Below are 25,482 nucleotides of genomic sequence, written 5' to 3'. Positions count from 1 at the left end.
AGCCCTGGAGTGTCTTCAGACCACATGTATCCCACCCTGCTTCACTAAGCCCTGTGCTTCTCTGAGAGGAGGGTCCTTACTGAGTGTGTTCTCACTGGAACAGCAGTATCTCACTTCATGAAGCTCCTGCATCTGCTCTCTGAATCTTCCTAGGACTATGCTTGACTCATACTAGGGAGTAGAAGCAACTGTGGTCTTTTCCTCCTCTGGGAGAGAGTTCAGCAAGGGCTGGGTTTATTTTTGCTTCCCACAGATTTCTTAGCAGCCTTCTTCTATGCTGAGGAGGGTCTTACTTGTTTCCTGAGCTTCCTGCCCCAGCCTGGGCTCTGGCAAGGACCCAAACCTGGTTTCCTGTTTAGCTGGGCTACAAGCCGGGAGAGGTTGGGGGAAGGGATGGGGCAGGCAATTCTAGAACTCTTAGGTCCTTTTCTCTTTCCAGCCAAGTTTAAAAACCTATGTGAGAGTCAGGTGTGGTGGCATTAAGCCTGGAGTCCCAGCTACTCGAGAGGCTCAAGGAGGATCACTTGAGCCCAGGAGTTAAAGGCTCTAAGTGCTATACGATCAGGCCTGTGAATAGCCACTGCACTCTAGCCTGGGCAACATAGTAAGATAACATTTCTTTAAAAATTTTTTTTTTTTTTTTTTGAGACCGAGTCTCACTCTGTCGCCCAGGCTGGAGGGCAGTGGCGCGATCTCGGCTCACTTGCAAGCTCCGCCTCCCGGGTTCATGCCATTCTCCTGCCTCAGCCTCCCGAGTAGCTGGGACTACAGGCGCCCGCCACCATGCCCGGCTAATTTTTTGTATTTTTAGTAGAGACGGGGTTTCACCGTGTTAGCCAGGATGGTCTCGATCTCCTGACCTCGTGATCCGCCCGCCTCGGCCTTCCAAAGTGCTGGGATTACAGGCGTGAGCCACCACGCCTGGCCAAAAATTGTTTTTTTTTATTAAGAAAAAAAAACCTGTGAGGGCTGGAACACATCACTACCTTCTGGTACTTTGGCATTTCTGTGTTGCCCCAGTATCTCCACCCCTATTGTCTCTCCTCACAGAGGAGTGTACATGTGCCCCAGACAAATACAGTACATGCACTGAGGGCACTGCAAGCCAGCTCACCAGAGAAGCACACAGAAGTTGAGAGCTGCCTCTTGCAAACCTGTACCCACCCTTAGGTCTGGTTCCCTGCCCATGGGAGTCTTCAACTTCTACTACCCAGCCTAACAGCTGTTAGTCCCCAGATAATTATGTCCAACACAATGGAGCATCTGATGGAGCAGGAAGTCTGAGAGGTGGAGGCTAGCTAGGGACCAGCTGTGCAACAGCTAGAAAACATAGGGGTCTGCAGTGACAGCTGACCACCCAGTACAGGATTCCTGATAAGAGCCTCACAGCCTTGGATACCCTGCCCACACTCCTCCTTATGTCTAGTTCTTCCTGAGGCTATGAGAATCCAGAGGGCCTCATTCTGTTTTGGGAAGGGACCTGTTGCTGATTACTTCTTTGCTCCCTTCTCCTGGGCGGTCACAGAAGGGACTGTGTGAAGCCCTATCCCTTTTATCCACATGAAAGTAAACATCAGAGGAAAGTGTCATCAAGTAGCAGGAGTGCCCCGTGTAGCCCCTTACACTTCAACGGCTTCCACTCGTTCTTATTATAAAGACTCAAATCCTTAGTATAACCCTAACATGTGATCTGGCTCCTGCCTTCCTCTTCAGCTTATCTCATATCACATTACCCCCAGTCACTACATTCAGCATCACTGGCTTTTCCTCCACTTCTCTAATGTCCCAGGCTCCCTTCTGCTTGAGGGCCTTTGCGCATAATGTTCTTGCTGCCTGGAATGCTTTTGCTGCACCTTCTACCTTTTTTTTGTTGTTGACTCCTACTCATCTTTCAGTTCTTAGTTCAGCTATAGTTTCATCACAGAGGACAATCCCTAGACTTGGTCAGTAGTCTTCCCCTTATTGCACTTTTCACATTTATAATTTTACGTAAGTATGTAAAATTAGTCTATTAACGTGGGTCCTTTTGAAGGATGTTGCATGAAACCAGATTCATTTTTACTTACCATTTGTCTCCTGTGCCTTCACATAATGGACATTCACTAAATAGCTTTTGGTTGAATGAATGAATGACTGAATGAATTGTCTTCTAGTCTCATTTACTTGGTAACCCCATGTCGTATCTGACATTCAACCATATACCCTGCAGACGTGTGTCCTACTGTTTAGAAGTGTGTCCGGAATTGGTGGGTTCTTGGTCTCACTGACTTCAAGAATAAAGCCGCGGACCCTCGCGGTGAGTGTTACAGTTCTTAAAGGCGGCGTGTCCGGAGTGTGTTCCTTCTGACGTTCAGATGTGTTCGGAGTTTCTTCCTTCTGGTGGGTTCGTGGTCTCGCTGGCTCAGGAGTGAAGCTGCAGACCTTCGCGGTGAGTGTTACAGCTCTTAAGGCAGCGCCTCTGGAGTTGTTCGTTCCTCCCGGTGGGCTCGTGGTCTCGCTGGTTTCAGGAGTGAAGCTGCAGACCTTCGCGGTGAGTGTTACACCTCATAAAAGCAGTGTGGACCCAAAGAATGAGCAGTAGCAAGATTTATTGCAAAGAGCAAAAGAACAAAGCTTCCACAGTGTGGATGGGGACCTGAGCGGGTTGCCACTGCTGGCTTGGGCAGCCTGCTTTTATTCTCTTATCTGGCCCCACCCACATCCTGCTGATTGGTAGAGCCCAGTGGTCTGTTTTGACAGGGCACTGATTGGTGCGTTTACAATCCCTGAGCTAGACACAAAGGTTCTCCAAGGCTCCACCAGAGTAGCTAGATACGCAGTGTTGATTGGTGCATTCACAAACCCTGAGCTAGACACATGCTTCTGATTGGTTTGTTTATAAACCTTGAGCTAGATACAGAGTGCCGATTGGTGTATTTACAATCCCTGAGCTAGACATAAAGGTTCTCCAAGGCCCCACCAGAGTAGATAGATACAGAGTGTCCATTGGTGCATTCACAAACCCTGAGCTAGACACAGGGTGCTGATTGGTGTAGTTACAATCCCTGAGCTAGACATAAAGGTTCTCCACCTCCCCACCAGACTCAGGAACCCAGCTGGCTTCACCCAGTGGATCCCGCACCGGTGCTGCAGGTGGAGCTGCCTGCCAGTCCCGGTGCCATGCGCCCGCACTCCTCAGCCCTTGTGTGGTCGATGGGACTGGGCGCCGTGGAGCAGGGGGTGGCGCTCATTGGGGAGGCACAGGCCTCACTGGGGAGGCTCATGGCCGCACAGGAGCCCATGGAGGGGTGGGAGGCTCAAGCATGGCGGGCTGCAGGTCCCGAGCCCTGCCCCGCAGGAAGGCAGCTAAGGCTTGGTGAGAAATCGAGCACAGCGCCCGTGGGCTGGCACTGCTGTGGGACCCAGTACACCCTCCGTAGCCACTGGCCCGGGTGCTAAGCCCCTCATTGCCCCTGGCCGGCAGGGCCAGCCGGCTGCTCCGAGTGCGGGGCCCGCCAAGCCCACGCCCACTCGGAACTCCAGGTGGCCCGCAAGCGCCACGCGCAGCCCGGGTTCCCGCTCGCGCCTCTCCCTCCACACCTCCCTGCAAGCTGAGGGAGCCGGCTCTGGCCTTGGCCAGCCCAGAAAGGGGCTCCCACGGTGCAGCGGTGGGCTGAAGGGCTCCTCAAATGCCACCAAAGTAGGAGCCCAGGCAGAGGAGGCGCTGAGAGCGACCGAGGGCTGTGAGGACTGCCAGCACGCTGTCACCTCTCAGAAGCACTTACTACTTATCTGCCACCAGACACACAGTGTTTCATTTAATCTTCTCAACTCTGCAAAGAAGGTATACCCTTAATCTACAGAGAAGGAAAGTGAGACCCAAGGTCACACAACCTAGTAAGTGGCAAAACCATTTCAAGCCCAGGTGTATGGAGTCTTTAAGGCCATGCTCTTAACTGTAACACTGCACTGCCCCCTTTTGGCATTTTGGAGCATTGTCACTAGGCCCTGGTTAATTCAACTCTTAAGTCGGTATATTCTAGAACTGAAAGCCCCAAGAAGCCACGCTTCAGTTCTAGCGCTCCACATTTGGCCCTGGCTGTGGAAGGACACTGGGGATGGAATTCAACCAGGACTCCCCAGGGTTCCAGGGTATATATGTCTCAGGGTCTCTCACCCCATCTGTTTCCATGGATCCTTTGTAGCCTCCAGATCATAACGTAGTGTCCTGTTTTAAAGAGAAGGGCCAGCTGTTGAAATGGCCTGATCCGGCAGTGTCCTGGAGAGTAAGCATGACCTGATTAAGATCCTAGTCAAGATAATTGAGAGAGAGAGAGTAGTGTTTGTCTTCTTGCAATTTCCTCATGAAAGATAGAGCCCCGGAAATTGGCTTCAAGGCTTTCCTGGGAAGTGCAAACCCATTAAGAGGGCAACGCCTCTTGCTGCTGGTTCTCATAACTCAAGTTAGTCCACATCCCAAGTTCCTTTTGGTGGCAGGGAAATTAGGACTGATGAATACTTTAGACTAGATGGAAACAAAAAGTAAATGAGGAGAGAGCAACATAAAAACAAACAAACAAAAACCAGCTACCCTTTGTTGTTCATGCCAGGCATGCTGCAAAGTGTTCTATATACATTATTTCATCTCATTCTAACACCAGCCTTGCAAAGTAGGTAATATGACACCCATGAAAGGAAAGGGACATTAAGAAAGGTAACTTGCCAAAAGTCATACAACGAGGTGGCTTGAGAACTAATCTAGGTCTTTCTAAATTCAAAACCCAAGTACTTACCACAGCCAGTTGGTGAGAGTATACATTGTCACAGCCTCTCTGGAACAATAACTGGCAACAGTGTCTCAAAATATAATGTGTACATTTCCCATTGACCCCCTCAGCTATTCTACTTCTAGGACTTTCTTAAAGAAATAGACAAACATATAAAGACTTTCTTTAATAAGAAATTATCATAGGCCAGGCTCTGTGGCTCACACCTATAATCCCAGCACTTTGGGAGGCCGAGGTGGGAGGATTGCTTGAACCCAGGAGTTTGAGACCAGTCTGGGCAACAAAGCAAGACCCCATCTCTACAAAAATTTTTTTTTAAATAGCCAGGCATGGTGGCATGTGCCTGTAGTCCCAGCTGCTTGGGAGGCTGAGGTGGGAGGATCACTTGAACCCAGGAGGTCAAGGCTGCAGTGAGCTGTGGTTGCCACTACACTCCAGCTTGAGTGACAGAGTGAGACCTTGTCTCAAAAAAAACCCAAAAAAATCCCAGAAATTATAATAATTATAAATAAATACACATACATAATTTTATAATAACATTATAATAGTTATAATAGATATTATAATAGTTATTAGTAGCTGCAACATTATAATAGTGAGAAAAAGGTGAGAAAAGAGCAATCTAGGCTGGGCACGGCAGCTCATGCCTGTAATCCCAGCACATTGGGAGGCCAAGGCAGGTAGATCACCTGAGGTCAGGAGATTGAGACCAGCCTGATCAACATGGTGAAACCCTATCTCTACTAAAAATACAAAATGAGCCAGGTGTGGTGGTGGGCACTTGTAATCCCAGCAACTTGGGAGTCTGAGGCAGGAGAATCGCTTGAACCCAGAAGGCAGGGGTTGCAGTGAGCCGAGATCATGCCATTGCACTCCAGCCTGGGTGATACAGTGAGACTCCATCTCAAAAAAAAAAGCAATCTAAACCTCCATCAGGGAGGACTGATTTAATAAATCATGGTACCTCCATCCCATAGCATACATATGGGCAGCCTTTTAAAAGGAGGATGTAAATCTAATATGAATTGACATAAAAAGATATTCATGATAGATGCATTTCATTGTGGTAAAGCGCACATAACACAAAAGTTACTGAGTAAAATACATATGGAAGATGGATCATCTGATTCCATGTATGTTTAAATTGGTATATATGATTACATATCTTTAAAGTCTGGAAGTATAAAATAAACTGGCAACAGTAATGAATTATAGGAGAACTTTCATGTTCTGTATTCACCTTTTTGCATTTGAATTTGTTATGACAAAACAGCATCACCTTTTTCTTTGAATTTTTTTCTATTTGGGGAAACAAATGGTCAAAAATCATGATCTTTGACTCTATCATTTTTTCCCAGGTGATAGAGCTCATGCTTTCCATATTTTTAAATTGGGTATGCATACCAAAAGGGGGTAAGATGAATTGAGTGTGGAAATGCTGCCAGAGACCTGTGTGTCACTTGTCTAAACAATCTTGTTCCTGCTATGCACCCCAGCTTTGACATGCCACACTTGACTCACATCTTCCCAATTCCTTCTCAAGTTCTACAGAGCCCTGTAGCTTCTAGGAGGCAGGGCATTTCTTTGGAAACAGAAAATCATCAACACTGGCCAGGCACAGTGGCTCAGGCCTGTAATCCCAGTACTTTGGGAGGCTGAGGCAGGCAGATCACTTGAGCTCAGGAGTTCAAGACCAGCCTGGCCAACATAGTGAAACCCCATCTCCACCAAAAATACAAAAAGTTAGCCAGATGTGGTGGCACATGCCTGTAGTCCCAGCTACTTGGGAGGCTGAGGCAGGAGGATCACTTGAGCCCAGGAGGTGGAGGTTACAGTGAACTGAGATCCCACCACTGCACTCCAGTCTGGGTGACAGAGTGAGACTCTGTCTCAAAAAAAAAGAAAGAAAGAAAGAAAACCATCAACATTGAGCAGATACCTTCCTGTTTCTTACTCCCTGTTGAGAGATCTCCTACAGTTCCACTTTCACCATATAAGAAAAGGAAAGCAAGGGGACAAATTTACTCTCACATTCCCCAAGGTAAAACTATGATCACTAATATTTGAATGTTCTGGATGGTTCTCTTTGGCTTCTGGCCTTCCTCCCATTAGTGTTGTCTCTTGTTGTGTTATCGTTTTCTGTATGGCCATTTTATGTGGTAAAGTAGGAAAGGGACCAGGAAACTTGGGGCCCAGTTCTGGATATGGGACTTCAGGGGAGTTACTCAGCTTTATAGGGCTTCAGATTCTTTTTCTCTGTAAAATTGAGATAAATGATAGATGGATTATCAGAGATTAAATGAAATAAAATGAGGAAAAAGCCTTGAAATTTTAAGTTGCAATATAAAAATAAATATCTATATTTTCTGAATTTAACCTTTTCTGATTTGTATTGTAAACTCTTATGTCAAGAAGCATGTCTCTAAATCTGTTTACTGTGGTATAGCAATTTAATAGGAAGATTGGAGAGATACTGAAGAATCTGGAGAGGCCACTTCATTCTTTTTTTTTTTTTTTTTTTTTTTTTTGAGACGGAGTCTAGCTCTGTTGCCCAGGCTGGAGTGCAGTGGCGCGATCTTGGCTCACTGCAAGCTCCGCCTCCCGGGTTCACGCCATTCTCCTGCCTCAGCCTCCCGAGTAGCTGGGACTACAGACGCCCGCCACCACACCCAGCTAATTTTTTGTATTTTTAGTAGAGACGGGGTTTCACCGTGTTAGCCAGGATGGTCTTGATCTCCTGACCTTGTGATCCGCCCGCCTCGGCCTCCCAAAGTGCTGGGATTACAGGCATGAGCCACCGCGCCCGGCCGAGGCCACTTCATTCTTAAAACCAACCTGAGCAACGGGGAGGGCAGAGGAGAGTCGGAGGCTTATTTCCTACTTGATTCACTTCTGTATTGTGTTACTTTCCCCATTGAATATGCATTACCTTTATAAGTTAAGGAAACCAATACAGATTTTTTTTAATGGCTTAAAATGATACAGTCAGTCTGGATATAGAAATTGGAAGTCATCTGCATAGAGGGCTGACAGTTAGGGCAAAGAGATCAAAGGATTTAGAAAGATGGCAGTTGGAGGAGCAGCCAGATTGGCAAACTGGGGTCATGTTTTTAAAACTTATTGGATGTCAGGTTGAGGAGTTTTTAAGTGGTAGGAGCTATCAGAAGGTCTTGAGCAAAGGAGTACTGCAATAAGAGCAGTGTTTAATTCTCAGAAGAGTCTTTTAACAGTAATATACAAGATGAGTTGGAGGAAGAGGAGACAAGGTGGGGAGATGAGTGGGTTACTACTGCAGTGATCCTGGAATATGCTGAGAAGGGCCTGAAGCAGGTTGTTGGCTGATAATTTTTTTTAAAGATAAACATTAGATATTCTGCAGAACCTTCTAGGTTCATGATTAGTTTCCCATAGAGATAAAGGAGGAAGAAGTAGATCAAAATGAGCCCACAGGGAGGTTAAAACAGGAGCCAACCTGAAAGTGTTCTCAATGGCCAAAGCTGGAAACATTTGAGCAACAAAACAAATATGATAATATTGGATTATAACCTCCCAAAATAAGTATACATTAATCCATACTGATATAAATACATGATTGAATAAATAAGTAAATGGAGGAGAAAGGACAAATATTTCTTTCAGAAGGATTCCAATTTTTTATATATGAAGTGAATACAAAGACTCTCTGGACTTTCTTTGTAACTCTTCCGTAAATGCAAAATTATTTCAATAATAAGCCAGGCATAGTGGCTCATGCCTATAATCCCAGCAATTCAGGAGGTTGAGGCAGGAGGATCCCTTGAGGCCAGGAGTTCAAGACTAGTGTGGGCAACATTGTGAGACACTATCTCTTTAAATAATTTTTAAAACTAATTCAATAATTGTTTTTAAAATGATACCCCACACCGCCCCTGCCCCATTTTTGAGTTTATTTACTGGGAAAGTGTTTTGCCAATAACAAGATACAGATAGTTAAAAGGCAGAACGAGGCTGGGGGAGGAACGTGACGCCAGTGGAAATAGTACGCAGTTGGAAATGGGGTCTGGAGAGAGAGGTCAGAGCTAGAGATATGGGCTTGGGATTGTAAAGCCCAGAGAGCTGTTACTTGAAATAATATGTTTATATGAGATGCGAAGAGAGAACATGTGGAAAGAGAATCACTGACCACTGGGAAAGGCGCTTATGTCTACAGTATAAGAGGAGGGACAGTAGGAAGGGCAGTCAAAACAGATAGAGATATAATGTTTCCATGCAAGCCAAGGGAAAATAGCTTCCAGAAAAATGTGGTCAGCACTGTCCAGTGATGCCCAAGGTGGTAGAAGATCACCTGAGAAAAAGCCATTGGCTTTTAACCAGGAGCTCAGTGCTGACTGCAGGGAGAACAGTGTTAAGTAGAGCAGGTAGGAAGAGGTGAGGGTGGTGGATGTGAGAATCAAATTGCCAGGACTCACAGTGAGGAGCAGGCTTGCCTAAGCCAGGCAAATGGACTGACTGACATAAGGAGCCCCTGGAGAAGAATGGTACACCCCTGGGCACAAAGGCAGAAAGTGATGGCCAGAACAAGTGGGCAAAAGAGCTGAGGCCCAAAGCTCAAGAAGAGAGAACTTTGACCAAAAGGAAGCCCCCTGCCATCTCCTGGCTGTGGCTGCAGAATGTAGGCTGGAAGCTACAGGTACTATTATTTTCTTCATGCTAAAGATGAAACACTGAGACCCAGAGAGATTAGAAACTTACCCAGATCACACAGATAAATAAATGGCACAAATAGGACTTACTCTAAAACCAATGCTTTTAAGCACTGCACTATACTGCCTCTTACTGACACATTCACACATGCGTGCACATATGCACATGCACATACACCCAAGGACCCGGGCTGTGTGCCAGGAGGTTAACACTGGATAGCTCTAGATAGTAGGAGTAAGTTTATTTTTTTCCTTTTTCTTTTGTGCTTATCTGGACTTTTTACAGTGACTATGTATTCCTCTTTTTTAAATGTTTTTATTTTTTATTAGCTTTTCTTAGAGAGGGGGTCTCAATATGTTGCCCAGCCTGGAGTCAAACTCCTGGACTCAAGCAATCCTCCCACTTGGGCCTTCCTGGTAGCAGGGACTACAGGCATATACCACCACACCCAGCTCTCTCCTCTTGGATTTAGGAAAAGAAATAATTATTTAATTTAAGTTTTAAGTTTTGGTGCTCTTTGCCAGATTTCTGTGGTATCTATGAGGGAAACAAAGCAGGTGCATTCTGCTCAAGTGCAGACAAAAGAGACTCTACCTTCTCTGCAGCAATACAGGCTCTGCAGTGACAGGGAGGAGAATCTGGCATGCATGTATATGCGTGTGTGAGTTTGTGTGTGTGTCCGTGTGTGTGCAGCAGCTGCTGAGGGCAGGGGAGGAGCTGATGAGCTGTCTGTTGATTTATCACATGGAGAATTCCCTTCCTCCCCTATGGCCACTTTGTCCCCAAGCCAGGTCTATTTTATCCTGAGCTTCCAGAGGGACTAGGAGATATTTTTTCACACACACACCAAGATCCTCTGCCTCACCCCTTGAAAATCTGGCCAGGCAGCTAGGCTGCTGGCATGAAGCCCAGGCTGCAGCCATAGAGAGAGATTGGAGTCATGCAGGAGCTACTTCAGTTCATGCGGGCCATGGGTCCAAGCAAGCAGTTGCTATCAACAATGGGCAGAGATGAGCCAGTGGCATTTAAGATAGGCATTAACCAGCAGGCAGGGCTCTTGCCCAGAGCCTCCAAGGACTTAAGGGGAGGTGGTTCAGAACCCTGGAGAGCTCCTCCTGTTTGTGCCGGGTCTGAAAGGCCTGGATGCTGTGTCCTTAAGGCATTGTGCCCATTTAACTTATTGTTGTTGTTGTTGTTGTTATTTGGAGACATGGTCTCACTCGGGCACCCAGACTGGAGTGTAATGGCATGATCACTGCTCACTACAGCTTCCACCTCCTAGGCTCAGGTGATCCTCCCACCTCAGCCTCCCGGGTAGCTGGGACTACTGGCATGTACCACCGTGCCCAGCTAATGTTTTTTGTTGTTGTTGTTTGTTTGTTTTTTGTCTTTTTTTTTTTTTTTTTTTTTGAGACGGAGTCTTGCTCTGTCACCCAGGCTGGAGTGCAGTGGCGCGATCTCGGCTCACTGCAAGCTCCACCTCCTGGGTTCACGCCATTCTCCTGCCTCAGCCTCCTGAGTAGCTGGGACTACAAGCGCCCACCACCACACCAGGCTAATTTTTCATATTTTTAGTACAGATGGGGTTTCACCATGTTAGCCAGGATGGTCTCGGTCTCCTGACCTTGTGATCCGCCCACCTCAGCCTCCCAGCATGTGTTTTCTTTTTTTGTTTTGTTTTGTAGAGACAGGGTTTTGACATGTTGCCTAGGCTGGTCTCGAACTCCTGGGCTCAAGAGATCCACCCAACTCAGCCTCCCAGAGTGCTGGGATTACAGGGATGAGCCACTGAGCCCTACCATGCCTATTTAATTTTGCATAGCCTTCCTGCACATGTCTTTCGCTGTGAAAGGGGCATGACCTCTTCTCTTTCCAAGACCAGCCCTGTAGGTCTAGGGATTCCCCCTTATCCCCTCCAGGTGCTGCCCTACCTCCCCCCACACATGTCTAGCTCTCTGTTGAGGTCACCATCACTCTGAAGGTGAAGTAAGCTTGCAAGACAATTATGTCATCTCCCAAGCTGTCCCTGGCCAGGGCCTGATACCCTAATACTTCAGGATAGTAGGAGTCCTGGGGATGGGGTAAGAAACCAGTGGAACAAGGGAATATTAAAAGGTCCTCTGTCTCTAATACCCCTGTACTTCCCTCTTCAATCTGGACGAAGGGAGCATGAAGGAGGGGAAATTAAGGAGAGACACTGAGCAGGTTTCAAGGCCTGAAGCAGGATCCTTTCATGAGCCATCACTGGACTTTCGGCCTACCAATAGGAATATACTTAATTTAAATATGCCTTTTTTTGCAGAGGGAAGGACATTGACATGAGGTGGGTGTTGTAGCAAATGGAAGCAGAAATAAAACTAGCGAGTCTGGAGCTTGCAACCTGCCACCCCAACCCTAGTCATGCACATGGCCCCCAGAGCCCACAAGCAGAGAAGAGTTAAATTCACACTATAGAGGGACTTCCTCCCACTTCCCCAAGTCATGTGTGAGGAGTCTGAAAGGTCAGAAGAATCATAATCATATACTAGGGATTAAATTTTCTGGTTGAAAGTTCCTCCTCTACCTACAGGTCTCTTCCATGGCTAAATGAATCAGAGCAGCTCTCACTTTATGATTCCCTGAGCTGGTGAGTGAGGAGGGTAAGTCTGCCTGGATTGAGGCTCAATGAAAACACTCAGGACCCTGTTCCTCTCAACCAGCCCTGCTCTGAATTTGTGCAAGGCCCTCTTCCTTTTGAGACCTTGTTTTCTTCACCTCTTTTAGGCTTCTGGGTCCCTTATTGAAGGAACTGTCAAGCCCAAAGGCATGCATTATACCTCAAAGAACCTCCTGGTCAAAGAAATTGATGCTAAATAATGAAACCCTGAGAGAACAGCTGCAGGCTCCCTCTTCTAGTGCCAACCAGTCATAATGAGAGGGGAGAGCAAGGAGAAGAAAAGAACTTTTGGTGTTCACTGAGCCTTGAGTACGCCTGGCAGAGTTTGGGCTAGAAGGACTAGGGCTGCCCCCAGCCCACCTCAAGAGGTGTTGCATGATAGTGCTCCTGGAGATGGGGCCGTTGACAATGTAGTAATGAATTTATGGGTGAAAAAATGTGCAGAGGATCTGGATCCAGGCTGTCCCTCAGCTTGGCCTCTCTCTTGCTCCAGGAAACAGCACATTCCAGCTTCCAGCAGAGGCCCTTACTGTGGGTTTAAGCACAGGCTCTTTTAATGCACAAGGAAGCCTGGAGAAGAAACAAGAACAGATGAGGACTTTGCCAGATCCCAAGAGGGTTTGTTTGTGTTGGGTTTTGTTCAAGTGGAACAGACCTAAACTCAGCCAGAGCTCGCTCTCAGTCTGCTCTCAGGGGCAAAGGTGCCCAGTGTTTGTCTTCCTCACAGCGGATGCTCTGTAGTAATTGTTTTATTTAGGAGCTGTGATTATGTGTCCACAAACCTTACTAAATTGAATACAATCCTGAGCATTCAGAAGAAGAAACAGTGCAGGACTCAGGGGAGGGCACAGCTGGCTGCAAACAAGGGCCCATGAATTCTAATCCCAGGGCTGCCATCTGGCATTGACCTGGGAGAACTCATTTACTCTCTACCCTGGAGGCTCTTTCTGGGATCTCAGGGCCTGAATAAAAACAGACCTAGAAGCTCAGAAAGTGAAACAACCTGTCTAGACTCTCAGAGTCAGTGCAGTTCACAGGTAAACTGTTCATAGGCCCTACTCTCTAGACAGGGGTTGTGTTTACTATTCCAGGAGGTTTCTTGCATTTTCCTTTACCATCTGTTTGCCCTTATGTCTAAATCCTGAAGAGTTTCCCTGCCTTGGGTGTTTACTGCCTGTTGAACATGGTTACAAGAACCAGGTTGTCAGAAAGCACTTTGAACAGACAGAGGATCAGAACAGCCCCACTCCTATCTCCCTCCAAAGAGTTTTCTGATGGTTTGGATTCCAAGCTGGTTTCCCATTCTTCCGAACTCAGTAACAAGAGTTGGGCCTTAATCATTTGATTGTGGAAGTATATATCTGCAAGCTAATGGCTGATCTTAGCCCTTTAGTCACAAAGAAGGCTGCATCTATCTGCTCAGTTTGTTGTTAGTCTCCATGAGAAGTTGACCTGAAATTGAGTTGCTGCTTTGGCTGTGGACCTTAAGTGAAGTTTTAACTAGGCCAAGCCTTCAGGTGAGTTGAAGGAGGGTTTGGGGGACTCCTACTTTGGCTGTTCTCCAAAATAACTTTGAGCCCCTGACCAGAGGCTTACAGTGAAGAAGTAGTCCTACAAAGAGCACAAAATGCAACATCTGTCTGTGGGACACCATTAGACAAGACTCCAGCATGGTCTGATAGGTCAGGAGTGTTTGCCACCTCTCTGTTATAGAAAGATCCTTGCTATGCCTTCAAATCAAGTAGAAGGCAGTGTTTGTCTTTTCAGATTATGGCCTTTCATTTTCTATGCCAAGCATTGGGAGGACATAGTGGAGGCAGGCATGGTCCCTACCTTCACGAACATTTATTAAACAAATTATACAAATAGTCATTTAAATAAAATTTGCTAAGTGCATGAAAGAAATGTATGGGGGAGCAGGGGCTGTGAGACTACATTATAGAAGGATCTAACTGAGCCTGGCATTTATGGGAAGCTTCTTTTAAGAGGTGATGTGTCCCAGCCTGGGCAACGTAGACTCCATGTCAACAAAAATATGTATGTATACAAAAATTAGCCAGGTGTGGTGGCGTGCACCTGTAGTCCCAGCTACTTGGGAGGCTGAGGTAGGTGGATCACTTGAGCCCAGGAGGCTGAGGCTGCAGTGAGCCGAGATTGCGCCACTGCACTCCAGCCTGGGCAACTGAGTAAGGCACTGTCTCAAAAAAACAAGAGGTGATGTGTGTCAGCTGAGGCCTGAAGGATGTAGTAAAATTTAACCAGAAGGGGAGCATGAGGTTAAAAAGGATATTGATACCCCATCAGGAGTAAAGAAGACCAGTGTGCAAACTAGTAAGCCTGGGGAAGAGTGGCACAAGATGAGGTTGGGGAGATAGAAGTAAAGGCAAGTGACTACTCCTTTGCCATCATTCTTAGCCTGGTCTGGAGAAAAAAAAAAAAAGTGCTGGTTGAGACCACCCAAACTGCTGTTCCATCTTCCTAGCAGCAGGGGCCTCACAGGAATGCTCAGGGAGAGGTGCTTCTAGCCCCAACCTGGGGATCACACAAATGGAATGGTCCTCACCTGGCAGCCCAGTTCAGAGGAGGGAGGAGGAAGAAAGACTAGGCACTCACTTTCCCTGCAATCCTCTCTCTATTTTTCCATTGCTCTGAACTGTTTATTAATACATGACAGAAGCCATTTCCCTATTTAGATGGTTCTGCTGGGAATTCCACACCACCACCATCCCTCCTGAGGCAGATTTTAAAGTCAGCTTTCAAGATTTTATACTTGGATTTCAGAAACTAAATTACATTACTACGTCCAGTGAAACGGCGCCATTGCCTGTTCCTATCTGCATGCTCCAGGCACTGTGAGGCCGATAACATCAGCATGTCAAAGCAGCTCGATCCAGACAATTTGCAGCTAGCTAGAGCTGGGCTATTGGTGGGGAAGGGGAGGATGAAAAATTATCTCAGAATCCAAAACAGCCCAGGGTGTACTATAGACTAGGATCTGGGATTTTTGGGTTCTTTCTATATACCATCATTTCTCCTATCTATAAAGATACAACTCATCTTAGCCCCACCTGGACATAACAAGGAGCTGAAAATTCCTCTCCTAAACATAGGAACAGGACAAAATCACTGATGTTTCAACATTCGGGATGTTTTCATTGGAGTGTAAAATAGAAGGGAGTGGTGGAAAGAGTGAAAGTCATTATATAAAAAATTCAGGATCCTACTGCCTGTGAAATTAGGTGTCCATATAAAAGCCAAAATACTCCTTGAATGGCTATTCTGTGCTTCTGTGAAGCCCAGATGTGAAGGCCTTATAACTAACCCTCTGACAGCCACAAGGTTGCAGAGTAGGTGAAGACAAACTATTGCTCCCCTGATAGGAACAAAGGAATTTTGGAGTTTCTAATTCTAACCAAATTTAATTGTACAGAACAAGCATTCCCTTCACAACAAAAATATTTCAGCCTATTGGGTTACTTAAAATGCACCAAATAGCATAAAACATTCATTCAACTCTAACAGCATTCACAGACCTACTTTTGTAAATAGCCAAGCACAGGCTGTTCTTTCCCAGAATATGATTTTTTTTTTAAATAATGCAGTAGGTCCGCAAGGTCAGAGTTTTGGGAAAAGTCAGTCTAACCTCATTGAGGCTGCCAGTCCTCTGCCCTCGTGTGAGCCTGGCTTTCCTGCACCTCAGTGCACTGCCCACTCACTCATAGGTGTCAGTGTTTGCATGCAGGAGACAGAAGAACAAGGATCTCCCCTTAACACTAACTGCACATTTTTCAACTTCTCCAAGCACAGTGGAGGCATGCAGGTTACTGACTACATTACTGGCTCTGAAGACTAATAATTAAGTCAAGTGATTATTTTTATTTATTCATTTGTTTATTTTATTTATTTATTTAAGACAGAGTTTTGTTCTTGTTGCCCAGGCTGGAGTGCAGTGGCACGATCTCGGCTCACTGCAACCTCCGCCTCCCAGGTTCATGAGATTCTCCTGCCTCAGCCTCCCGAGTAGCTGGGATTACAGGCACCCACCACCATGTCCAGCTAATTTTTGTATTTTTGGTAGAGACGGGGTTGCACCATGTTGGCCAGGCTGGTCTCAAACTCCTGACCTCAGGTGATCTGCCTGCCTTGGCCCCCCAAAGTGCTGGATTACAGGTATGAGCCACTGTGGGCCTCATTTGTTTATTTTTACAGAAAACTATTATTGAAGGGTTTAAATGTGAGAAAGTTTTGACTAGGCATAAGGAATAATAATAATAAAAGTGAGAAAGGGCTGGGCGCGGTGGCTCATGCCTGTAATTCCAGCACTTTGGGAGGCCGAGGGGGTAGATCGCTTGAGCTCAGGAGTCTGAGACAAGCCTGGGCAACATGGCAAAACCCCATCTCTACCAAAACTACAAAAAATTAGCTGGGTGTGGTGGTACACACCTGTAGTCCTAGTTCCTCGGGAGGCTAAGGTGGCAGGTTGCTTGAGCTGAGGTGGAGATTGCAGTGACCTGAGGTCGTGCCATTGCACTCCAGCCTGAGTGACAGAGTGAGACCCTATTTCAAAAAACAAAAAGGTGAGAAAGCATGATTACCACATAACAGAGTATAGGTTCCATGGTTGAGCCTCCCTCTGGATGTTCACTGTTGGTGGAACAAGTGTTGTGGGTTCTGGGAAAATCGCAACGCAGGCTGCTCCTCTCTGTGTTCTGGATTCTCAGGCCACTCCTGGTAGGTCCGTGTTGGCTTTGGCCCCCTGCCTCAAGGACTAGAAGTCAAGGGTCTTTGCTGCTTTTTGCCATAGCCTGGGGACGATAGGCCAAAACTAAGTCAGGGGACTCTGGTGCAGCCAGAATTTGGGGCGACTACCCACCTAACTGCTTACTATTGCCTCTAGTTTGGCCAAGCCCTGGTCAGCCTCCCTTGCCTTCAGCCCACCCCTTGCCCACACTTCCTAAAAGATAGCAAATGTGCCATGATCTCTGGACCGTGACTGGACTTTTCTACTAGAGAATGTCTCTCGGTGAGGACTTGCAAGCCTCACAAGAATCAGACCCATAATTTCTTAGAACAAAATAAGTTTTTGCTGAAATATCAGCAAGCCTGAGAACAGCATCTTGAGTCCTCCCTCATGTCTTCAAACAAGTGGCCATTCTATGCTGGTTCTTTCTCCCGGCCTCAACTATTTTCCAGTCTCTCTTGTCATACAAGAGCCCCTCTAGGACTCCGGTTCTGGTTCCTCTGTCTTACATTATTCTTCTCAAAACTCTGCCTTTCCTAGACATCCATGACTCTGATCTCTTCTTGGTTCCCTACCCCTCTGACCGTAGCTGTCAGTCTTCTGCTTACTTTTTCAATATTGGTGTTCCTTAATTTTTTTTCTCTAAGCCCTTCTTATTTATAAACATACACATATTTACACACAAAACAAAACCACAAGCCTTACTCTTATTTCTGTTTCTCCATCTTATTTGGTGGCATCACAATTCACGCAGTCACCTGAGTCAGGAGGAAACCTGGGAGTCATCCTAGCTCAAGTCTTTTCCCTCAAACCCAGATCCAGTCAGCCTTAGTGCCCCAGCGGTTTGACCTCAACATGTTTTTCTTCTCCACCTCCTTTTTTCCAACCCCACTGACACTGACTTTTTCAAGCTTTGTCACCTACTGCAATGACCTTTATCTAGCCTCCCTGCCTCCAGTTTAATCATTCCTGCCTATTCCTTGGACCTGCTCCCAGAGCAGTCAGTCTATCTAAATCTGACAATGGGCTGAAAATCCTTCAGTGGCTCCCCATTATTTCCAGGTGAAGTCCAAAACCCTGAACATATCTTACAAAGCCCTTCATGATTTTAAGTCTTCCTGTCATTCTAGACTCATCACCTGCCACTTCGTCCCCTAACATTAACATTCTAGTAAAATTGACCTGTTCTTTTTGCCTGCTCTATAGTCATGTGCATCTTTCCCACCAGTCCTTTCTCTTCTTTTTTCTTTTTGTTTGCCACTCCTTTCCTCATCTGGTTCACTAATACTTCCTATTCTTGCTTCCTCCATCAGTTTTCTTTGGAGAAGTCCTCCCTAATTCCCCAGAGTGGGATAGTTGCCTCTGTCCTGTACACATACAAACCTCTGTCATAGCACTCAGCATATGATTAAAATTATCTGCTTATTCACTTGCTTCACTCACTGGCTTATGAGCTCTTCATGGGCAGGGGCCTTATTATTGTTATTATTATTTAGAAGAAGGGGTCTCACTCTGTCGCTCTGTGCAATCATGGCTCACTACAGCCTCAACCTCCCAGGCTCAAGTGATCCTCCCACCTCAGCCTTCTGAGTAGCTAGGACTACAGACACGTGCCACCATGCCGGGCTAATTTTCTTTAATTTTTCTGTAGAAATGGAGTCCTACTATGTTGCCCAGGCTGGTCTCAAACTCCTGGGCTCAAGCAATCCTTCCACTTCGGCCTTCCAAAGTGCTGGGATTACAGGTGTGAGCCACCGCGCCCAGCCCATATTATTTTTATATGTCCAGAACCCAGCACAGTGCCTAGAATATAGATGCCCTTAAAATGTAGGACCAGAACTGAATTTGGTGGCTAAGGCCCCTTTCATCTCCTTTTCTTGCACTGCCCTCTTCTTTTGTCTCCTGGGCTCACCATTCTCAGTTTCCAACGCATTTTCTTTCTTGTTGCTTCCTGCCAGTCTCTCTCTCCATCTTGAGCTATCGACTGCTTCAGTGGCTCCAATATTTCCTTCCTGTGGAGAACTCAATTGAGCAGGAAGCTTGTGATCAGAAAGCATCCATGCTATTTTCTAAAGAGGGGCTACAAGTTTGTGTTGAGCTCCAGAGACATGATTGAACTAGGTACCAGCCTTCCAAGTGACTGCTTTGCAAGACAACAGTCCCACAGAGGTGTAAGTTCTGGTACGTTGTTAATCTCATGACTTTATCTAAGTCTCTGAGAAGGGGCTGGGGTAAGAGAGATGAGGAAATTAGATTCAAATTGCCTACCAGGTGTGACTTTGGACATATTACTTTATGCAACCTAGTTCTTCAATTTTAAAATGAAAATGATATTTGCCTTACTTGGTTTTGGGGAGGATTCAATGAAATAATATAGATAAAGCACTTAGCACCATGGCCGTACCTCTGGCAGGTATTTAAGCAACATTAACTAAATGACTGGATGAGTTTTGGAAGAACTACACCTGGGCTAAATTGTTCCGAACAACTCCCTGCCTGGATCCAGCCAGAGTTCTTAGTAGAGCTGCCTCCCCAACGTGAGCTTTGAGAAGTCCCTCCTCTTCTCTCCTCTCTTCCCAGACTATTGTTCCCTCTTGCCACTAGGAATGTAACCAGGTTAAGGTCAGGGTGGAGGGCTCTTTGAGAGGCTGTCTGGGGATGGTGTGGGCGTAGAGAGGCTGGCCTAGAGCCACACTATTCCAAGTGTGGTCGCTGTATTAACAGCATTGGTACCACCTGGGAGCTAATATGAAATGCTGACAATTCAGGTTCCAGACCTACTGAATCAGAATCTGCATTTAAATAATATGCCCAGATGATTTCTATGCACATTAATATATGAAGAAACACTGTCCTAGGGGCACAGATGGGTTCAGCAGGGGTGGAGGGTTGAGACAGTGCAGGTGTGTCAGCTGTCTAGAAGAGGTAGAGGTTGTATGGGGGTGGGGGAGGCTGTGGCAGGGGGGTGTACTCAGAGAAGAGGAAGTGTCCTCAGAGATGTGGGTTGTAGAGCTGTAGGGGGCTCTTTGGGAAATGTTGGTCATTTGCTGTTTCAGCGGCCTTTCCTATTGATGCCTGGAGTACGAGGTGGTACCCCTTCCTATTGATGCCTTGAGTATGAGTTAGCCGGTAAGTGTCACTGCACCAGCCAGGGAGTGACAGGTGGGCAGGCAAAGGCTCTCTACTGCCCTGAGCCTGCAGAGACGTTCCTGCAAGTATCCTAGGACCATCTAGCTTAGCAGTTGAGTATTGTTTTCCATGGAGATGCATAACCAGCAACTGGCTAGCCTCACCCCTAAAAACACACCCTGAGTTGGTGTTACTCTACAATCTCCCCTCCTTACCTCTGTACCCCCAGCTGGCACACACACACCCCTATAACACACACACATGAACTTTCTTCTCTTGGGAGACTCAGATGGGAGTTCATAAGTAGGGTTAACCCTCCCCTTCCCCTCTCTGACCTGCTTGACCCCAGGCTGGCCCCCAGGCCTCTATGGGCCCCTCAGCCCTGACCTCCCTGCTGCACGGAACAGGCCTTGTGAGAGTGACTGCAGGCCCTAGGCTTGGCTGGATGCAGCAAAATTTGTTTCAGCAGAGCCATTCTCTCTCTCTCTCTCTCTCTCTCTCTCTCTCTCTCACACACACACACACACATACACACACACACACACACGAGTTTCACTCTGTCACCCAGGCTGGAGTGCAGTGGTGTGATCACAGCTCACTGCAGCCTCAACTTCTCAGGCTCAAGTGATCCTCCTGCCTCAGGTTCCCAAGTAGCTGGGTCCACAAGCACATGCTACCACACCCGGCTAAGTTTTTTTTTCTTTTTTGTAGAGATGGGGTCTCACTTTGTTGCCCAGACTCGTCTTGAACTCCTGGGCTCAAGCAATCCTCCCACCTCAGCCTCCTGAAGTGCTGAGATTACAGGCTCATGAGCCACCACGCCTGGTCTTTCTCTTTCTTAAGCACTCTTAGGACAGGACTCTCAGTCCCTGATTGCCTTCTTAATAAAAACCCTTTCCAGCCACCCACCTAGAGCCTCTTGACCCTTCCTTTGGGTTATCTGTTTATCTCAATGGTAAAGGAAAAGGTCCTGCTGCAAATGACCCCCCAAAATGAGGTGGGGAGTAAGTGAGTGCCCTGTGGCAGGGTAGGAACTACATCAGCAGCAACGAAAAGTAGAGTCCTAGCCCCCAGGGCAGAGCTTCACCAGTAGTTGCTTTAAACCCTCTGCCAAAGTACCCAGTGACCAATAGCCAGGTCTCCACTTTAACCTGGCTCCTGCCCAGGCCCAATCTTGTATGTCAGAGAAGATAATATCGCTACCATTATCGCTCTCCTCTGTGCTCCTACCACCCTCCATGCATTCCTGCCTCTGCTGTTCCTCTCTCTTCCTTAAATAGGCTGATCTGTGTGCCTGTCATCTCTGCACTTTTAAATTCTTCTTGGCAAGAACCAGGGCTTGGTGTTTTTCCCTCCCCAGTGTACATTGTGCCCTCCCCCTTGTTGGGGTTCAGTGATTATCAAAGTTCTGAACAAGTGGCAAGTTCACCAATGTTTAATTATTGGGATGACAAAAAGGAAAGACTAGGAGACTGCTCTGGCTAGAGAGCTGAGCTTTAGAGCTGCAAATTATCTTTGTGGGCAAAGAGTAGTGCCTGCCAGGCATAATGGGGGTTAGAGACTTAGAACAAGCTAAAAAGGAGAGGAAGGGCAGCGACAGGAAATGCCACAGAGAGGAAAAGCTATTTGATACTAGCCCTCCAAGTCCATTGTCCATTGCAGACAAGTTGGTCCTTATTCTTCCAAGGCCAGAGGGAAGAAATCCCATAGACTCTGCCAATTACTTTGCTTTCCTGCAAATCAAGGAGCCCCAAAGATTTATGAACCAGTGCAGGCCAGGCTCAGTTCCTTGAGTAATTGAAGCTTACTAAAAAGCCTTAAGTGAGATTTGGGGCCAAGATTCAGACAAGAATCCACACGTCAATCTGGCCCAGACAAATGTCAGTGTCTGCTGGCATTTCTCCTGCTTCTGCTTCCTACCAGGTGTGGGGCTCTCAAGGAGTCTCCAACCACATGTCTTGTACTGATTCCTGGGCAGTATTCTCCTCAGTGTCTATGCCTCCTCCCTTATCTTGAAGAACTGGAATCCACATTCTAGAAGGAAACTGAAAGATCCTCTGGACTGTGCTCCCTAAAGCGCTGTTAACCTTGAACAACCTTGCCATCTTCCTGTCCTCTGGGCCCTGTCTAAGGGGCACCTCAAGTAGAAAGCCCCCAGAAACCCAACCCCAAATCCCCAGCCCCGTCCAACTCCCCTGGTCTTAGAATAATTTTCCCTCTCCTATGAAAGGCCTCATCCCCAAAAGTCTGTGTTGTCTGAATCTGAATATGAAAAGGGAAGGGACTGCCTCCTCCCCACTGCCCACCACACACCTTCTTATTTTGCTGCCTAGGTCCTGCTTCTCAATTTTTTTAAAAAAAAATTGTATTAGAATATGCATAACATAAAAGTTACCATTTTAACCATCATGGGGCTTTGTTTGTTTGTTTGTTTGTTTGTTTGTTTGAGACAGAGTCTTGCTCTATCACCCAAGTTGGAGTGCAGTGGTGCAATCTTGGCTCACTGCAACCTCTGCCTCCCAGGTTCAATAGATTCTCCTACCTCAGCCTCCTGAGTAGTTGGGGTAACAGGTGTGCAACACTACACCTGGCTAATTTTTTGTGTGTGTTTTCAGTAGAGACAGGGTTTCGCTGTGTTGTCCAGGCTGGTCTCAAACTCCTGGCCTCAAGTGATCCACCCACCTCGGCCTCCCAAAGTGCTGGGATTACAGGCATGAGCCACTGCATCTGGCCAATTTTAACCATTGTAGATCTATTTTTAAAGAACTTTGTACCTTAACTCCTTTCTCCATTAAATTAGATGATCTTTCCCTAAAGAGATTGAAATGGGGGAGGCGAGGGTGATGTGGGGTTCAAAGACCTTGTAGGTCACAAGACTTGACATAGGCCAAGACCAATGTCTTAAACTGGTCCAAATGTAAGGCAGGAGCATCCTCAACATCTGGCTAAGGGGATGAGGGCCAGGAGTAGGCCAAGCCAGTCCTCCCAGAAGGAAGTAAGCCTTCTCCACTTATGATTCTGGTGTCTACCTCCTGGGTCATGAGGCTTGGCCCTTAGGCCCTTATGCACAGGCTTCCCCCAAGCCATAGCTACAGTGATTATCCCTGAGTTGAGGTATTTATCCTATCTCCCAAATGAAGAATTTTTTATGACAGGGTTTTCTGGTGAGTGGTAATAGGAATGAATAGCAGAACATCAGTCTAAGACATCAGTCTTGTCCTAACCATGAAGAAGCAGAGCAGGATTCTAAATCATCTTTTAAAACATTCTTTGGCCCCCTGTCTCTTCATTTCAAAAACAAATCCTTTTTTTTTTTTTTTACCATCTCACTACCAGCTTCATACTTTCACCATCCTTTTCTCTCCCTGTTCCTGAGTAGCTATTTCTGAAAACTAAATAATAGGTAGGGTAATAGGAGCTGCTGCCCTAGCTGGGGTAACTCCAAAGCCATTTTGGTTAATTCTCCCACCCCACATCTAAAAGCAAGGGACACACTCTGTGAGATTTGCTTTCTGGCTCCGCAATTACCGTCACGGTTCCTACAGCTGACATGCTGGCACAGGTGAGGACTGGCTAAAGCACAGTGCCCAGTTGCCAGGCAGTGCCAGTGCTCCACTTAAAGCCCTTCCCAGTCTTCAGTGTAAGAGTCTTCCCTCCTTTTGTTCTTAATTGGTGGCCTCAAGTCAGGAGTATTTTGTCTGGCAGGTGATGCCCAGAGGAAATTCTGTTCTATGAAAGAAGATTTCCCAGAGGGAACCAGGTAAATGAGGACTGGAACAGAGCTCTCATGGAAGATAATGGGTAAATGTGATGACCTGAAATTCCCTGGCACACAGTGAAAAATAAAGCATTAAAAACCAGCTATACTCTCAGTCATGACAGGAGGCATTGTAAATTGGAACAATCCTTTGGGAAAGCATTTTGGCAATATCTATCAAGAAACTTAAAAGCACTCATGTTTTTTACTGAGTAATCTACTTTATTTAGGAAATGATCCTAAATGTAAATATATGTGGATTTCAGTGTAGCATTATCTATAATAGTGAAAAGTTGCAAACAACCTGAATGTCAAAAATAAATGAATGGTTACAAAGTTACTCTACATCCTCTCTATAGGTATTATGCAGCCATTAAACTGATAGTTACAAAAACTATGTAAGAATATAAAGCTAGGGGCTGGGAATGGTGGCTCACACCTGTAATCCCAGCACTTTGGGAGGCCGAGGCAGGAGGATCACTTGAGGCCAGGAGTTCGAGACCAGCTTGGCCAACATGGCAAAATCCTGTCTCTACTAAAAATACAAAAATTAGCCAGATATGGTTGTGCATGCCTGTAATCCCAGGTACTCAGGAGGCTGAGGCAGTGAGCCGAGATCACACCACTGCACTCCAGCCTGGGCAACCAGCCTGGGCACCAGAGCGAGACTCTGACTCCAAAAAGAAGAAGAAGGAGAAGGGGAAGGGGAAAGGGAAGGGGAAGAAGGAGGAGGGAAGAGGGAAGAAGGAAGAAGGAAGAAGGAGAAGATAAAGCTAGGTGCAGTGACATGTACCTGTAATCCCAGATACACGGGAAGCTGAAGTAGTAGGATCACTTGAGTCCAGGAGTTCAAGGCTGTAGTAAGCTATGATTGTGCCTGTGAATAGCCGCTGCACTCCATCCTGAGCAACAAGAAAGACCCTGCCTCTATTTAAAAAAAAAAAAAAAAAAAAAATGGAGAGCTGATTATGTTCTGATACTAATTTTAAAAATACAGAAATAAAAAAATCATACTTTTTTTTTTTTGAGACAGAGTCTCACTTTGTTGCCCAGGCTGAAGTCCAGTGGCATGATCTTGGCTCACTGCAACCTCTACCTCCCAGGTTCAAGTAATTCTCATGCCTCAGCACCCCACCACACCCAGCTAATTTTTATATTTTTTAGTAGAGAAGGGGTTTTGCCATGTTGGCCAGGCTGGTCTCGAACTCCTGGCCTCAAGTGATCCTCCTGCTTCGGCCTCCCAAAGTGCTGGGATTACAGGCGTGAACCACAGGGCCCAGCCACAAAATATACTATGTTCTTTAAATGTTGTTCTATGCACATGTATTAGTTGCTACTCTCTGATTACAGTAACAAAATAAAAAACCCAACTGAAGCTAAGAAAGAGAACAGACTATGAAGACACTAGGGTTTCTTTCTTTTCTCTCCGCTTCCTTCCTTCCTTCCTTCCTTCGTTCCTTCCTTCCTTCCTTCCTTCCTTCCTTCCTTCCCTCCCTCCCTCCCCCTTTCTTTCTTTCTTTCTTTCTTTCTTTCTTTCTTTCTTTCTTTCTTTCTTTCTTTCTTTCTTTCTTTCTTTCTTTTCTCTTTCTTCTCAGGATCTCACTCTGTCACTCAGGCTAGAATGCAGTGGCACAATCATAGCTCACTCCAGCCTCAACCTCCTGGGCTCAGGCAATCCTCCCACTCAGCCTTCCGAGTAGCTGGGGCTACAGGTGTGTGCCACCACACCTGGCTAATTTTTTGTCTTTTT

General features: G+C 46.4%; 1 protein-coding gene and 1 long non-coding RNA gene across 7 annotated transcripts in view, besides 1 other annotated feature; one reads left to right on the top strand and one right to left on the bottom strand.

Annotated features, from left to right (window-relative positions):
* FAM219A (family with sequence similarity 219 member A) overlaps window positions 1-25,482 on the top strand; it is a 60,387-nt gene that overhangs the window by 17,075 nt on the left and 17,830 nt on the right. The window lies entirely within an intron of this gene.
* Window positions 3,851-3,910: a silencer, noted in NCBI's record as "silent region_19845". NCBI's record gives its function as "represses an Ori minimal core promoter by ATAC-STARR-seq in GM12878 lymphoblastoid cells {active_cell/tissue: GM12878}" and the evidence as "EXISTENCE:reporter gene assay evidence [ECO:0000049][PMID:35858748]".
* LOC124902145 (uncharacterized) lies at window positions 16,651-24,659 on the bottom strand. The gene is made up of 3 exons (XR_007061465.1): window positions 24,526-24,659; window positions 18,759-18,858; window positions 16,651-16,910 (listed from the first exon to the last, which is right to left on the bottom strand). It is a non-coding gene; the product is annotated as an uncharacterized LOC124902145 (long non-coding RNA).

Source organism: Homo sapiens, chromosome 9 (genome assembly GCF_000001405.40).
Source record: "Homo sapiens chromosome 9, GRCh38.p14 Primary Assembly".
NCBI classification, from domain to species: Eukaryota; Metazoa; Chordata; class Mammalia; order Primates; family Hominidae; genus Homo; species Homo sapiens.
Note: the sequence above shows the minus strand (reverse complement) of the source record. Positions and strands in the feature narration are given on the sequence as shown.